Here is a 15,678-nt window from a genome sequence, read left to right on the forward strand (position 1 = left end):
AAATGTTTATATATCTATATAGATATACATAAATGGTAAATATGTTTTTTCATTTTCAAAAACTTTTTTTCCGTTTTCAAAAACTGTGAACCACCACTAGCAGACACCCTATAACAAGGCCCACTGTTCATTTTTAAATTACACATATAAAATGTTTCATTCAGAAAGCAAACCTGAAGCCCTTCAGCCTCCTCCACACTCACAATTCAAATTATATAGAACCTACGAAGCTGGTTAGAAAGCAGGTAATCTCAGAAAAAAGGGTGGGGGTGACAGCAGAAACAACCAGGGATCCACAAGGTCATACCAAAGGGGTGGTCGGAAAGGAACCTGGGGAAGGGAGAGAAGGCTGGAACGCTTACTTACTTCTTGTTATCAGTGTAGAAGCGTGTTTGGAGCTGAGCCATGGCGAGGAGTACACACGACTTGCCCACGGAAACGTACGGGTTAGCAGACCCACAACACGAAGCTCCTGCCTTTTAAGACTACAAAGAGGCAGCTCAAAATTAGACTGCACAGGTAAGCGAGGAACTGCAGTCTAAGCCTGGACTCTGCCTTCTGCCCTCCGGTCTCCTCTGCAGAAAGCACGAGGTTGCCCTTCTACAGACGCCCAGACCACAAACATCGACTACCTACTCCTAGATTTAGGAGTCATCGATTAGAAAAGGATAGTCGTAAAGGTAGCATGTCCCTTTAATCATTGTTAGAATTCTTCCCATACGTGTGGGCCCGTAATCGATTAGGAAAAAGATCCCACTCAAATCCGCTTTATTAATAAAAAATTTTTTTTCAAGAGGCTGTCCTGAGCCTGGATAGTTCAAACACAGCTCCTAGTTACTACAAGTCTCAGAAAGCATCGCTTCTCAAACGCTGTGACCACCGGGAATTGTAGTCTTTTTTTGCCACGCTGCCCTCAGAGTATCTTATTTGCATTAAATCCTCTAGACTCCAGCCAGATATCAAATTTCCTCTGCCTTCAGCTTTGCTTGACTAACGCCTTGCCAGTTTTTTTTTCTCATACATATTCCCAACCAGAGGCTCACTCGGCAGAGGTTTTTCCTAAATCTCGCCTCTAACTGCGGCTTTTAGAGAGAGGCGAGAGGCGGAAATACAAAGAAAAGAACGGATGAGAGAGGAAACGGTCGACGGTGGCCGATAGTGGTCCTACTGTCGTGGGACTGCTCTGCGCGCTCCCGGTGGGGCGCGCCTGCGCATTATGCTGGTCTCCATGGCGGGGCCTCGGAGCCAAGACGAGGTTGAGTAGACTCGTTTTGAATTTTCTCCCCTCTGCTCCGGCGGACTTCCCATGTCGCCTTGTGGGGCTATCGGCGGCGGCAGGACTGGGGGAGTCAGAGGTCTGGCAGCGCTGTCTGCGCAGACCTACCGGACGCTACCTCCCAACCCCCCGTCTTCCTCCTGCCTCCTCCTCCTCCCGTCACCTCCTGACCCGCCGGAGCTCCGAGCAACTGCCGGCCTCCGCCCCCAGCCGCAGCCGGTCACTGGCGGCGCCTTCCGCGCCAAGCTTGGGGGCCTTTTCGGGGTCCCACATGGCACGGCTTCCGACCCCCGGCCCGGGACGGGGCTCGCAGGCCCCAGAGGGGCAGGCTGGAGAAGGAGGAGGTTAGGTGTCTTCAGGAGGGTTGCTGAGCCCAAGGACGCGCCATCGCCGCGGAGAAGGAGCCGGACCCCTTGGGCGGAGCGCCCAATGTGTGGTCCCTCACGCCGTCCCGCACCTTGCTTTTTAGGGTTCTTTTTCCGCTTTCTGAGCCCTTTTATACCTTACGTTTAGAAGGGGAAAATCATCCTCCCACACCTTCTCCCCGACTTTTTGCCTTTTTTGTCTTGAAGTTACCCAAAGGCCTGTGTATTGTTCTCAATGGTCCCAAGAATTACTCTAATATAGTTGTTTTTCTGAGGGAGGATGGATGGAGATAACTATCCTGATCCCAATGTCACTTTTTAAGGCATTCGCTTCAAGAGACAAGCAGTTTAGAATCAGGCAGAACTGGATTGCAAAATTTATGGGCAGACCGGTATGTGTGCAGGTGAAGACAAAGCTTTCCTTTTTTACGTTGTTTAAAGATGTCCTACTGTAAGGTAGACGCCTAATGTTTAAATGAACGCCTAATATTTAAATAGAGAATGAGAAGAGATTTAAACAATTGGAAGAAAAAATAATTTTTATTAGAGAGCAATGACAATAAAAGTAGGACTCTTTTCAGTTTACTCACCTTTGTAGCTCCGAATCCGGGCCCTGGAACCAGAATTCCTGGGTTCAAATCCTGCCTCTGCTACTTGATTAACCTTTTTGTGCCACACTTTTATCAACTATAAGAATTAACTGCGGCATCGGAAGCACTCAGTATATGTTAATTATTATCATCAAATAGTTACTAATTCCAGTTTAACTAGAAGCTTTGCCAGCGTGAATAGATAAGGGAGAATAGCCACATTGAGTGGAGGAATAAAATTAGAAAACCTCTGTGCTGAAGTCCCAGGAGATCACTTATTAGGCTTGAGCTTGCTAATGGAAGTGGTGATCGTTTAACCATGTGGTTATTGTAGTGGTGAGGATTTACACATTAAATAAGTCTTGGGCATCTGAAGCTTGAAACACTTTCTTAATGAAATCTTGCCGTTGAATCTGTACTTACTGGTAATATGTCATTGGTTAAAATATATTTATAAAATGTATAATTGACCAGCAGGTTAATACATTTTTATCATTAATTTGAAATTTATCAAAATGAGAATATACAGTACCTGACAGTAGAGTTTGATCTTAATTTGATTTGAAAATTATGATCAGGAAAATAACCTGAATATATGCTTAATAATATAAGACTTTCAGTTTGCAAAACAGAAATCCTGACTTGACTAAAATACACTTTTCATTTGACGGAGACCTTTAGTTAAGGAAAGATTAGTTTTAGCATTCAACATAACTAAATACCCAGCATTATGTTTTACGGTTTTTTTCAACAATGATTTATGTGTCGTGTTTGGTGTTGCCTCCAAACAGTACCTAGGATAGCTGATGCTTTTACTTTGAGTCTTTTTCTTTAGTTGGAACATTAATTGCAAGCTTTTGGTTGGTAATCATTTTTTATGGGATGTATTTACTATATGGTCCTCATGGAGACACATTGTTATCTGGAGAACCACAGTTTGGAAAATACATTTCTCTTTATTATAAAGTTTTTTGTTTTATATATATAATGCCACAGTGTGATAGGATACAAAGACTATGCATTAGGGCTTTGGAGTCTTAATTGTTCTTTGTGTTTTTCTTTTTTTCCAATTTGATTATGGATCCAAGCCTAATGCACTCTGTGATCTTAAGCAAGTTTCTTGACAGTTCCAGTTTTCTTATCTACAAACAGAGACAAGAAGATCTACCTCAGAGTCATTGTAAGGATTAAATAAATTTGTAAAGCTCTCAAAGAGCAGCCTAATCCCAGCATTTTGGGTGGCTGAGGCGGGTGGAGCACCTGAGGTCAGGAGTTTGAGACCAGCCTGGCCAACATGGTGAAACCCCGTCTCTGCTAAAAATACAAAAATTGGCCAGGCATGGTGGGGGGTGCCTATAATCCGAGCTACTGGGGAGGCTGAGGCAGGAGAATTGCTTGAACCTGGAAGGTGGAGTTTGCAGTAAGCCAAGATCACGCCACTTCACTCCAGCCTGGGCAAAAAGAGTGAAACTCCATCTCAAAAAAAAAAAACAAACAAAAAATCAGAGCAAAAAGGTAAAAAGTTTGTGCAGAGTAAAACATGGGTAGAAATGGATTGCAGGGAAGCTTATAGTGAGAATAAACCATAAATAAAATTGACATTGTGAACACCAGCCTTAGATTTTTTTTCCCTGAAAATTAAAAAGTGCTTTTTTTTATTTTTTTATTTTTTGAGTTGGAGGGTTTTTTGGTGGTGGTGGTGGTGTTTGTTGTTTTGTTTTTGGTTTTTTGTTTTTTTTCAGAGTCTCCCTCTGTCGCGAGGCTGGAGTGCAGTGGCGCTATCTTAGCTCACTGCAACCTCCGCCTTCCAGGTTGAAGCGATTCTCCTGCCTCAGCTTCCCGAGTAGCTGGGACTACAGGTGCCTGCCACCATGCCCGGCTAATTTTTTGTATTTTAGTAGAGAAGGGGTTTCACCATGTTGGCCGGGATGGTCTCGATCCCCTGACCTTGTGATCTTCCCACCTCGGCCTTCAAAAGTGCTGGGATTACAGGCGTGAGCCACTGTACTGGTTGAGGTGGAGTCTTGCTCTGTTGCCCAGGCTGGAATGCAGTGGCATGATCTCATCTCACTGCAACCTCTGCCTTCCAGGTTCAAGTGATCCGTGTTTCAGCCTCCCCAATAGCTGCGATTGCAGGCTCCTGCCACCACTCCCAGCTGATTTTTGTATTTTGTTTTGTTTTCTTTTTGAGATGGAGTCTGGCTCTGTCACCAGGCTGGAGTGCAGTGGTGCAATCTTGGCTCACTGCAACCTCCAACTCCCTGGTTCAAGCAATTCCCCTGCCTCAGCCTCCCGAGTAGCTGGGATTACAGGCACACGCCACCACGCCCAGCTAATTTTTGTATTTTTGGTAGACACAGGGTTTTATCATGTTGGCCAGGATGGTCTCAATCTCCTGACCTTGTGATCCATCTGCTCAGCCTCCCAAAGTGCTGGGATTACAGGCATGAGCCACTGCACCTAGCCTGTTTTTTTTTGTTTTTTTTTAAGTAGAGACAGGGTTTCACTATGTTGGCCAGGCTGGCCTCCCAACTCCTGACCTCAAGATCCGCCCACTTTAGACTCCCAAAGCGCTGGGATTACAGGCATGAGCCACTGCATCCAGCAGAAAATTTAAAAATTAATATAGGTTATTGTTTATATATAATTGCATGCATTTAAAAGTTCGATGTTTAACATAACTTTAAAAACTGATTCTTAAAAAATAAATTATCCTATTAAAATATTTGTGAATTAGTCTTGATTTCATTTTTGACACCACTGATTCATAGTAATTTTGTACATATTATAAAAGGAATGTTATGTCATTTACCTCTAAAAGATGCGGTAAATTTTACTTTCTAAAGTACTTTTGAGCAATATTTTATTTATTTATTTATTTATTTATTTATTTATTTTTGAGACAGAGTCTCACTCTGTCGCCAGGCTGTAGTGCCGTGGCACAATCTTGGCTCCCTGCGACCTGTGCTTCCCAGGTTCAAGCGATTCTCCTGCCTCAACCTCCCCAGTAGCTAGGACTATAGGTGCGCACCACCACACCTAGCTAACTTTTTTGTATTTTTAGTAGAGATGGGGTTTCACCACGTTGGCCAGGATGGTCTCAATCTCTTAACTTCGTGATCTGCCCACCTTGGCCTCCCAAAGTGCTGGGATTACAGGTGTGAGCCACCAGCATCCCGCCGAGCAATACTTTTTAATGTAGTTAATAAGATCTGGCGCTGATAATGAATAGATTTAAAGATCTTTTACATCTTAGGACATTAACCAAGGTATCTGGAATTTAAAGAAACAACTTCAAGCTGCTTTCTCTTTAATTACCCTATTTGGGGATTTATTCTAAGGTTATTGGTTGTAACAATAATATTTTAATACACAGAAGTCTGTGAAGGATACTCAACAACATGGTTGGATGTTAAGACCATTTTTTTTGGATATTACACATAAGAAATTGCCTCCAAAATTTTGAACTGATAGAATTGCTGTTGAATAAGATCCTAACAGCAGTGGCCCAAGTATGGTCCTTGAAGGAGACATGACAACAACCTGAATCGTCTCTACCCCTCTGCCATACATTCACTGTCTAAAAACAATAAAAAGCCCTTTCTTCCCAGAATAAAAACGCTGAGCTCGCCGGGCGCGGTGGCTCACGCCTGTAATCCCAGCACTTTGGGAGGCCGAGGCGGGCGGATCACGAAGTCAGGAGATCGAGACCATCCCGGCTAACACGGTGAAACCCTGTCTCTACTGAAAATACAAAAAAATTAGCCGGGCGTAGTGGCGGGCGCCTGTAGTCCCAGCTACTTGGGAGGCTGAGGCAGGAGAATGGCGTGAACCCGGGAGGCGGAGCTTGCAGTGAGCCGAGATCCCGCCACTGCACTCCAGCCTGGGCGACAGAGCGAGACTCCGTCTCAAAAAAAAAAAAAAAAAAAAAAAAAAGCGCTGAGCTGCTAATTTTACAGATGCTTTCCAATCTTTACTTTTGATATAAGATAAAATCCACTTTTTAAATGTGATAACAAAACATTCTAGAAAGCAATTTGCCGGCAAAATTTAATGCTTTAGTGTGTTTTCTGAAATCCAATCATTAACTGTTTAGGCTCCATATTTAATATTTTCTTTTTTCTTTCTGCTCTCTTTAATTGTAATACGCTTGCTTAAGAAATAAGCCTGTCAATTCTAGGGTTTGGGAGGTAGGGCATGGGGAGAAGAGCTTTTATTTTCAAGCTTCTTGTGGCTCCAAAAGATACCCTAATAGTAAGTATTTTCATTGATGAAAAATGTAATTTGCTAGAGATCTTTGTTTTAGTGATAGTTATAAAACGTGAGAATTTAAATATTCCAAATACCTGATTTTAGACAAGGAAACAGGCACAGAGAGATTGTCACCTGTCCCAAGATACATGTAGTTACCTGTAAAGTCAGTCCTCATCTTTAGTTCTCTTAAATGAATCAATTGATAGTTTTACCACACCAGGCTGATAATGGTTATTTTAAAATAAAACCTGCATAACAAAAAGTAATAATTATCTTTATGTGTAGGAAAATAAAATATACATTAAATACCTTCTCATTACAGAGAAAATGCTGCTGTGAAGACCCAATTAAAGCTTTCACATAAATGAAGCTACAGCTATCATGATTTAGTGCCCCCAAAAGGAAGAACTTCAGTGGACAAGAAAGGACATTTCTGGGGGTAGTAGAATGCTTGAGGCCTGGAATTTAAACCTGAGCCACTATCTGAAGGTAATTTTTTTTAACTAATTGAAAGTAACAACTTTATTTTAAAAAGTTAACTATTATCTATTACATGTTTAAAAAGTCAAATTACCCTTTGTATATAGGTGCTTTGTTCTATTTATGTTTATCAGTTGGAAAAAACATTTTATACTTAGCTATTTAATATTAATATCTGCATTCTTATAAACTTTACTTTGACAGGGCCAGGCGCGGTGGCTCATGCCTGTAATCCCAGCACTTTGGGAGGCCGAGGTGGGCGGATCACAAGGTCGGGAGATTGAGACCATCCTGGCTAACACGGTGAAACCCCGTCTCTACTAAAATACAAAAAAAATTAGCCGGGCATGGTGGCGGGCGCCTATAGTCCCAGCTACTCTGGAGGCTGAGGCAGGAGAATGGTGTGAACCTGGGAGGCGGAGCTTGCAGTGAGCCGAGAGCTTGCAGTGAGTGCCACTGCACTCCAGTACTGGGTGATAGAGCAAGACTCCGTCTCAAAACAAAACAAAACAAAAAAAACAAAAAAAAACTTTACTTTGACGGAGTTAATTGGCAGTTAGGGATAAAAACTTATAGCATATACTGACATTCAGGATAGTTGGGAAAATCAGCTATTTTAAGTCACTTTGCAGTTGTCAGGATTAAAGAAGGTAAAGCAAATTGATGGAAGAAAGGAGGAAGGAAGAGGTAATACTTTTCACTGCATCCAAATTATTTTTTTAAAGTGTGTCTGTAACTTAAAAATGTACTTTTAATCTTCATTTCAACAATGGGTTAGGTCAGTCATCATATTAAAACCAACTTTTCCGTATAGAAACTACTTTAATATTTTCTCAATGTAACCACAAAAAGTCTTTAACCCATAGATTTTCATTTCCAGAAGGCAGTAGAAAATATAGTTATTTTTATTCCATTGGCAAAATCTCAATATGGGCAAAATTCTGCAGTAGGTGGTTTGTGTTTGGCAGTCTTCCTCTGTCAACATACTCCCCACCCCTTAACTAGTGTACTTACCTAAGCCAGTCATACTTCCCTCAGTCTTCACTGCAGCATCCTGTGCAGGCCTGCTGAATCCCTCTAAGTTCTTTGAGGCTCACCTGTACTTGCTTTCTCACCTCCAAGTAAAACTTTTCACTCCCTCAGGGTAGCTCTTTTTAACTCGTTTTAAAGGAAGAAATCCATCCTTACAGAAATTTATACCAATTTGTTAATGGCTGATGTTCCCTCCAAAGTTTTTTCTTTTTAAGAAAAAGGGCTTATTAACATCAATGAAAATTTTACTGATGAAATTTCAGAGTGAGTGAGCAAAAGTAAATAAAGTAAAAAAAATAAAATTAGGCTAGTAAAGGTAACTTGCAGTAGGATCAGAGTACCTGTCAGGAAACTGGGAATATTTGGAATTCTTACCCCTAAGCTATTGGCACTTTTTACAACTTCTTCCTAAACTCCACTTCTCAATCTGTTCTACCTAATGTTTTTTCAGTGACTACAATGCCTGCATAGTTAGAGCTCTAGCTTTTGGGTGGTGTCGGAGATAGAGTTTTTTGTATGTTACGGTACTGCTTCTAATTAAATTTCAACTGGCAAAAGTTGAAAACAAAAAGGAACAAATAATTCCTTTTAACATCTTTAATTTGTTAACCTATCCAGAAAAAGATTTAAAGCTATGGATTTTTGACTAATAAAGGCAGAAGAGAGCTTTGTTTATTGGTTTGAAAAAGTTCCTATTGTAATAATAGAGTACGGGCTTTGAAATAAACACATGTAGGTTTGAGTTCTTGCTCAGCCACTCAGCATATTTGTAATCTTGGGAAAGTTACTTATCTGCCTATCCTATATGTAAATTGGAACAGGTAACTGAATCACAGCATTGTCAAAAGGGTTAAATGATATAGGTAAAACACTTTTAGCATAGTACCTTACTATGGTAAATGCTCAATAAATGATAACCTTATAATTTTGAGCAATGAACCTCATCATCTTTTTCTATAAAATGATGATAATAATAGGTCCTATATCACAGAATAGTAGAGTGATTGTTGATAATTCTAGCTAATAATTATTTAGGATAGTTGAGATTCAATACATTCTATTTTATAACTATGACAATTAAATTCATAATCTTTTTTTTTTTTTTTGAGACGGGGTCTCGCTCTGTCGCCCAGGCTGGAGTGCAGTAGTGCACTCTCAGCTCACTGCAAGCTCCGCCTCCCGGGTTCACGCCATTCTCCTGCCTCAGACTCCTGTAGCTGGGACTACAGGCGCCCACCATCATGCCCGGCTAATGTTTTTTTGTATTTTTAGTAGAGATGGGGTTTCACCATGTTAGCCATGATGGTCTTGATCTCCTGACCTTGTGATCCGCCCGCCTCGGCCTCCCAAAGTGCTGGGATTACAGGCGTAAGCCACCGTGCCTGTCCTAAATTCATAATCTTAATTGATCTATCATAATAGTGCTTATATTTTAAAAGTCAAAGAGCTCTCAGAAATATTAAGAAATTTTTTTGATCTTGATGTCATCATGTTTAGACAGTGAATATTCAGATTACTTTAAAAATTAAGCCAGGTGCAGTGAGCCAAGATCGCGCCATTGCACTCCAACCTGGGCAACAAGAGTGAAACTCCGTCTCAAAAAAAAAATGGGAAAGAAAGAAAAAGAAAATTAAACTGTATTTAAATCGTATTCTTGACAATTTACTTTAGAATAGTAAATTGTATTCCTAATAGGAAAAAAGCAAGAAAAAGGTAAATTTTTAAAACGTTATATTCCTAATAGATATTTCATTTTTAATAAGCCCCTCAATAGGACCTTATTTGCAGTTGAATCTAACTTTGTAAAAAGTTTCCTGTTTTAATAGAGTCCTTTTGTATTTCTGTGTAGTGCATATTGGAAGTCAGTCAATAAATAATAGTTAAATGAATTTTAAAAATCAGGATAATCAACTCTTAGAAACATAAAATCTTAGTATTATTATTATATTTTTTGAGACGGAGTCTCACTCTGTCGCCCAGGCTGGAGTGCAGTGGTGCAATCTCGGCTCACTGCAACCTCCGCCTCCCAGGTTCAAGCAATTCTCCCGCCTCAGCCTCCCAGGTAGCTGGGACTACAAGTGCGTGCCACCGTGCCCGGCTCATTTTTTGTATTTTTGGTAGAGACGGGGTTTCACCATGTTAGCCAGGATGGTCTTGACCTCCTGACTTTGTGATCCGCCTGCCTTGGCCTCCCAAAGTGCTGGCTGGGATTACAGGTGTGAGCCACTGCACCTGGCCCAAAGTTCTTTAATTCCAGAAAATTTTAGATCTATGTAAACACCTCAGTAAATTGAAGAAATTTCTATTACCTTGCCATCAGACAGCTTTGTATTAAATTAAATCTCTATATTCAGGTCAGTTTCTTTTGCATTTTCCATAATTGCGTTAGTTAATTAGCAAACATGAGTTCACTTAAAATGTTCAGTTCCTCTGTGATATCATGAAATAAACCTGATTTTAAAAATTCAGATATAGTTATAAAACACACAGAATATAAATTTTATACATAGAGACTTTAAGTGTCTTGATCATCCTTGTATCTCCAGCACATAGAACAGTCACTTGGATGTGTAGTAATAATTCATTTTGTGAATGAATATCTGCTTATAAATATATATGATTAGAAAAAATCTGGAAGAATATGCAAAAATGTCAATAGTGATTTCTGTAAAATTATAAGTGACTTTAACTTTCTGATGTTGCTATATTAACATAATATTTGTTTTAATGACATAAACAATAAAACTTAAAATTTTATTGAAAAATTTTTTTTTCCTGAGATGGGGTCTCACTCTGTCACCCAGGCTGGAGTGCAGTGGCATGATTATGACTCACTGTAGCCTCAAACTCCTGAGCTCAACCAGTCCTCCCACCTCAGCTTCCCAAGAAGCTATGGGGACTATAGGCACTCACCACCATGCCTGGCTGATTTTTTTTTTTTTCAATAGAGACAGAATCTCATTATATTTCCCAGGCTGATCTTAAACTCTGGCTTCAAGCCATTCTTCCACCTTGACTTCCCAAAGTGCTAAGATTACAGGGATTAGCCACCACACTGAGCCCTTAAAAAGAAATTTTTAATCTTTTGAGACAGGGTCTTGCCCTGTCATGATCATGGTTCACTGCAGCCTCAATGTCCTGGGCTCAGGCAATCCCCCCACCTCAGCTTTCTAAGTAGCTGGGACCACGACACATGCCACCACACCCAGCTAATTTTTAAAAATTTTTTTGTAGAGATGGGGGTCTCACTATGTCAGCCAGGTTGGTCTTGAACTCCTGGATTCAAGTGACCTGCCTGCCCCAGCCTCCCAAAGTGATGGGATTACAGGCATGAGCTACCAGCCTGGCCTGGAACAAGAAAAGGATACCCACTCTCACCACTCATCTTTAATATAGTACTGGAAGTCCTACTAGCCAGAGCAGTCAGACAAGAGAAAGAAATAAAGAGCATTTAGGCCAGTTGCTATGCCTCACGCCTATAATCCCAGCACTTTGGGAAGCCAAGGTGGGTGGATCACCTTAGGTCCAGAGTTTCAGACAAGCCTGGTCAACATGTGGAAACCTCTTCTCTTCTAAAAATACAAAAAAATTAGCTGGGTGTGGTGGCAGGCTCCTATAATCCTAGCTACTTGGGAGGCTGAGGCATGAGAATCACTTGAACCCGGTAGGTGAAGGTTGCAGTGAGCTGAGATTAAGATCTCACCACTGCACTCCAGCCTGGGTGACAGAGTGAGACTCTGTCTCAAAAAAGAAAAAAGAAATAAAAGAGCATCCCAGTTGGTAAAGAGGAAGTCAAACTGTCACTGTTTGCAGATGATATGATTGTTTACCTAGAAAACTCTAAAGACTCCTCCAGAAAGCTCCTAGAACTGATCAAAGAATTCAGCAAAGAAGGCCAGGCGAGGTGGCTCACGCCTGTAATCCCAGCACTTTGGGAGGCTGAGGTGGGCGGATCACCTGAGGTCAGGAGTTTGAGACCAGCCTGACCAACATGGTGAAACCCCATCTCTACTAAAAATACAAAATTAGCCAGGTGTGGTGGTGCATGCCTGTAATCCCAGCTACTTGGGAGGCTGAGGCAGGAGAATCGCTTGAACCTGGGAGGCAGAGGTTGCCATGAGCCGAGATCACGGCCATTGCACTCCAGCCTGGGCAAAAGAGTGAAACTCCATCTCAAAAAACAAAAAATAAAGAATTCAGCAAAGTTTCCGGGTACAAAATTAATGTACACAATTAATTTTGTGCGGTAGCTCTCCTGTACACCAACAGCAGCCAAGCTGAGAGTGAAATCAAGAACTCAACCCCTGTTACGATAGCTGCAAAAAAAGTAAAATACTTAGGAATATACCTAACCAAGGAGGTGAAACACCTCTGCAAGGAAAACTACAAAACACTGCTGAAACATAGACAACATATACAAATGGAAACATATCCCATGTTCATGGATGGGTAGAATCAGTACTGTGAAAATGACCATACTGCCAAAAGCAATCTAGAAATTCAATGCAATTCCCATCAAAATACCACCATCATTCTTCACAGAATTAGAAAAAACAATCCTAAAATTCATGTGGAACTAAAAAAGAGCCCGCATAGCCAAAGCAAGACAAAGCAAAAAGAACAAATCCGGAGGCATTACATTACCTGATTTCGAACTATACTATAAGGCTGTACTCACCAAAACAGCATGGTACTGGTATCAAAATAGGTACATAGACCAATGAAACAGAATAGAGAACCCAGAAATAAACCCACATACGTAACAGCCAACTGATTTTCGACAAAGCAAACAAAACCTTCAAGTGGTGAAATGACACCCTATTCAACAGATGGTGCTGGGATAATTGGCTAGCCACATGTAGGAGAATGAAACTGGATCCTCATCTCTCACCTTATACAAAAATCAACTCAAGATGGATTAAGGACTTAAATCTAATGTGATGTTAATTTTTGTTTCCCTAATGACTAATGCTGATCAGCATCTTTTGTGTGCTTACTTGCTAGCTATATATCTTCTTTAGTGAAGTTGTATCGTCAAACATCTTGCCAATTTTTTTAGTTGAGTTGTCTTACTGAGTTGTAAAAGTTCTTTAGAGTTTGAATATAAGGTCTTTGTCAGCTACATGTTTTGCAAATATTTTTTCCCATCTGTAATGAGAATACATTTTAAATTTTGACAAAGTCTAATTCATAGATTTTTTTCTTTTATATTTTGTACTGTTTGTTTCAGGTTTAATATATCTTTGCCAAGTCCAAGGGTACAAAGATTTTCTCCTGTGTTTTCTTCTAGAAGTTTTATCATTTGATAGTCTGTGATCCATTTCAAGTTGATTTGCTATCTGGTGTGAGGTAAGGGTCAAGGTTTATTGTTTTACATACGGCTATTTAGTTGTTTTAGCACCATTAGTTAAAAAATGTCCTTTTTCTCTTGATGTATTGATATATTTGTCAAAAAGCAATTGACTACCACCTAGAAATAGCTTCTCAGCTCCATCTCGAATCTGTCCAGTTCAGCCTGCTTGCCTCTACTCCATCCTCCACCATATCTATCAGGGTGACCCAGAAGTCCTACATGGTATCCACCTCTGGTCCCTTGGTGGCCAAGGGCCTCCTTGGCAGCTGCTTATACAAGAATGGGCCAGATGTCTGCATTAACTCCTAGAACTTCTCCTGGATGGGCAACAGCAGCAGCTTCCGGGGTAGCCTGGACACTGGCATGGGTCTGGAGGGAGGCTATGCCAGGTCTGGTGGTATGGAGGAGCATCACAGCTGCCACAGTGACCCAGAGCCTCCCGAGTCCCCTTAAGCTGGATGTGCACACCAACACCCAGGCTGTATGCACCCCGGAGAAATTGCAGATCAAGACCCTAAACAAGTTTGCCCCCTTCACTGAGAAGGTACCCTTCCTGGAGCAGCAGAACAAGATACTGGAGACCAAGTGGATCCTTTTGCAGCAGCAAAAAGTAGCTTGGAGCAACATGGACAGCATGTTTGAGAGCTACATCAACAACCTAAAGCAGCAACTGGACACACTGAGCCAGGAGCAGCTGAAGCTGGAGGCAGAACTTGGCAACATGGAGAGACCAGTGGAGGACTATCAAAAGTGTGAAGTTTAAATAACCAAGCCTACAGAGATGGAGAATGAATTTGTCCTCATCAAGAAGGATATGAATGTAGCTTACATGAACAAGGTAGAGCTGGAATCTCACCTGGAAGAGCTGACTGACAAGATCAACTTCCTCATTCAGCTGTATGAAGAGGAGATCTGTGAGCTGTAGTCCCAGTTCTTGGTCACATCCCTGGTCCTGTCCATGGACAACAGCCACTCCCTCGATTTAAATGGCATCCTTGCCGAGGTCCGTGCCCAGTATGAGGAGATCACCAGCTGCAGCTGAGCTGAAACTGAAAGCATGTACAAGGAGTATTAGGAATATGATCAAGTGTGAGGAGCTGCAGACGCTGCCTGGGAAGCCAAGAATGACCTGCGTCACATGAAGACAGATCTCTAAGATGAACCAGAACATCAGCTTGCTTCAGGCTGAGAATGAGGGCCTCAAAGGCCAGAGGGCTTCCTTGGAGGCTGCCATCCCAGATGCTGAGTAGCAGGGGGAGCTGGCCATTAAGGATGCCAGTGCCAAGCTGGAAGCCATCCTCCAGAGAGCCAAGCAAGACATGGCCTGTCAGCTGCTTGAGTAACAGGAGCTGGTGAATGTTAAACTGGCCATGGACATCAAGATCTCCACTTACAAGAAGCTGCTGAAAGGCAAGGAGAGCCAGGTGGAGTCTGGGATGCAGAACATGAGTATCCATACAGAAACCACCAGTGGCTACTCAAGGGGCTGAGCTCGGCCTGCGAAGGCCTCACAAGCTTTGGCCACAAGTATGACCTAGGGCCCCTTCCAATCCAGCTTAGACTCTGGCAGGGGCTCCACCTCCTTCAGCTGCACCAGCTCCTTCAGGGCCGTGGTTGTGAAGAGGATCGAGATCCACAATGGGAAGCTAGTATCTGAGTCCTTTGATGTCCTGCAATGAATGCCACTGCAACTCCTCCCAGCCTACCTACCTCCTCTGGCCGACCAGAGCCTGTGGGGGAGGCAACTGTGCAGGGAAGCATAGGGAACAGGAGACCACCTGAGGCCCAATTGTGGACCTCAGCCCACCCTTAAGGGAACCTAGGGTGGTTCCTAGACGACCGCCTCTTTTTCATGCTCGCAACTGAAAACCAGTTTATACCTTTGGGAGCCTTCTGGTTAAAACAAAATTTTAAAAACAGACAAAACCTAGTTCAATTGTTTTTTCAAAATAAAGCCTCAGCTAAGCCAAAGAAAAAAGCAATTGGCCAGATAATGTGTGGGTCAATTTCTGGATTGTCTATTCTGTCCATTGATCTATTTGTCTATTTTTACACCGATACCATAATACCTTGATTGTTATATCTTTGTATTAAGTCTAAAAATCAGTAGTAGTGTAAGAACTCCAACCTTGTCTTCTTTTCCAAAGTTGTTTTGGCTGTTCAACCTTTGCACTTCCGTATGAATTTTAGGATCAGATTCTCAATTTTAAAAAACCTACTGGGATTTAGGTTGGGATGATATACAATACATAGATCAAGTTGGAAGATATAATATCTTATTGAGTCTTCCATTTTATAGACACAGTATATGTCATCACTCATTCAGAT

General features: G+C 41.7%; 2 protein-coding genes and 1 pseudogene across 22 annotated transcripts in view, besides 5 other annotated features; 2 read left to right on the plus strand and 1 right to left on the minus strand.

The window, feature by feature from the left end:
- Window positions 1–604, minus strand: part of WDR12 (WD repeat domain 12) — a 37,413-nt gene extending 36,809 nt beyond the window's left edge. For both annotated transcript variants that reach the window (NM_001371664.1, NM_018256.4), the window contains exon 1: window positions 367–604. Coding sequence is in view for 1 of the 2 variants with exons in the window: in NM_018256.4 (NP_060726.3) it covers window positions 367–407 (41 nt within the window). In the remaining variant the exon portion in view is untranslated. The remainder of the gene's footprint in view (window positions 1–366) is intronic.
- Window positions 787–936: an enhancer, noted in NCBI's record as "active region_17004". NCBI's record gives its function as "activates an Ori minimal core promoter by ATAC-STARR-seq in GM12878 lymphoblastoid cells {active_cell/tissue: GM12878}" and the evidence as "EXISTENCE:reporter gene assay evidence [ECO:0000049][PMID:35858748]".
- Window positions 947–1,096: an enhancer, noted in NCBI's record as "active region_17005". NCBI's record gives its function as "activates an Ori minimal core promoter by ATAC-STARR-seq in GM12878 lymphoblastoid cells {active_cell/tissue: GM12878}" and the evidence as "EXISTENCE:reporter gene assay evidence [ECO:0000049][PMID:35858748]".
- Window positions 1,137–1,336: an enhancer, noted in NCBI's record as "active region_17006". NCBI's record gives its function as "activates an Ori minimal core promoter by ATAC-STARR-seq in GM12878 lymphoblastoid cells {active_cell/tissue: GM12878}" and the evidence as "EXISTENCE:reporter gene assay evidence [ECO:0000049][PMID:35858748]".
- Window positions 1,206–15,678, plus strand: part of CARF (calcium responsive transcription factor) — a 75,989-nt gene continuing 61,516 nt past the window's right edge. For 11 of the 20 annotated variants that reach the window (NR_148033.2, NR_136330.3, NR_136331.3 and 8 more), the window contains exons 1-2: window positions 1,206–1,255; window positions 6,808–6,974. Coding sequence is in view for 2 of the 20 variants with exons in the window: in NM_001322429.3 (NP_001309358.1) it covers window positions 6,933–6,974 (42 nt within the window). In the remaining 18 variants the exon portion in view is untranslated. Of the gene's footprint in view, window positions 2,046–6,807; window positions 6,975–13,227; window positions 13,347–15,678 lie in introns of all 20 variants that reach the window. The other 9 variants (XR_007081622.1, XR_007081643.1, XM_047445855.1 and 6 more) reach the window with 6 other exon arrangements.
- Window positions 1,437–1,486: an enhancer, noted in NCBI's record as "active region_17007". NCBI's record gives its function as "activates an Ori minimal core promoter by ATAC-STARR-seq in GM12878 lymphoblastoid cells {active_cell/tissue: GM12878}" and the evidence as "EXISTENCE:reporter gene assay evidence [ECO:0000049][PMID:35858748]".
- KRT8P52 (keratin 8 pseudogene 52) lies at window positions 13,465–14,861 on the plus strand (annotated as a pseudogene).
- Window positions 14,803–15,303: an enhancer, noted in NCBI's record as "H3K27ac hESC enhancer chr2:203790595-203791095 (GRCh37/hg19 assembly coordinates)". NCBI's record gives its function as "activates a minimal SCP1, AML or CMV promoter by ChIP-STARR-seq in naive H9 embryonic stem cells {active_cell/tissue: H9 hESC(naive)}" and the evidence as "EXISTENCE:reporter gene assay evidence [ECO:0000049][PMID:30033119]".

The sequence above is a fragment of the Homo sapiens genome, chromosome 2, assembly GCF_000001405.40.
Source record: "Homo sapiens chromosome 2, GRCh38.p14 Primary Assembly".
Lineage (NCBI taxonomy): Eukaryota > Metazoa > Chordata > Mammalia > Primates > Hominidae > Homo > Homo sapiens.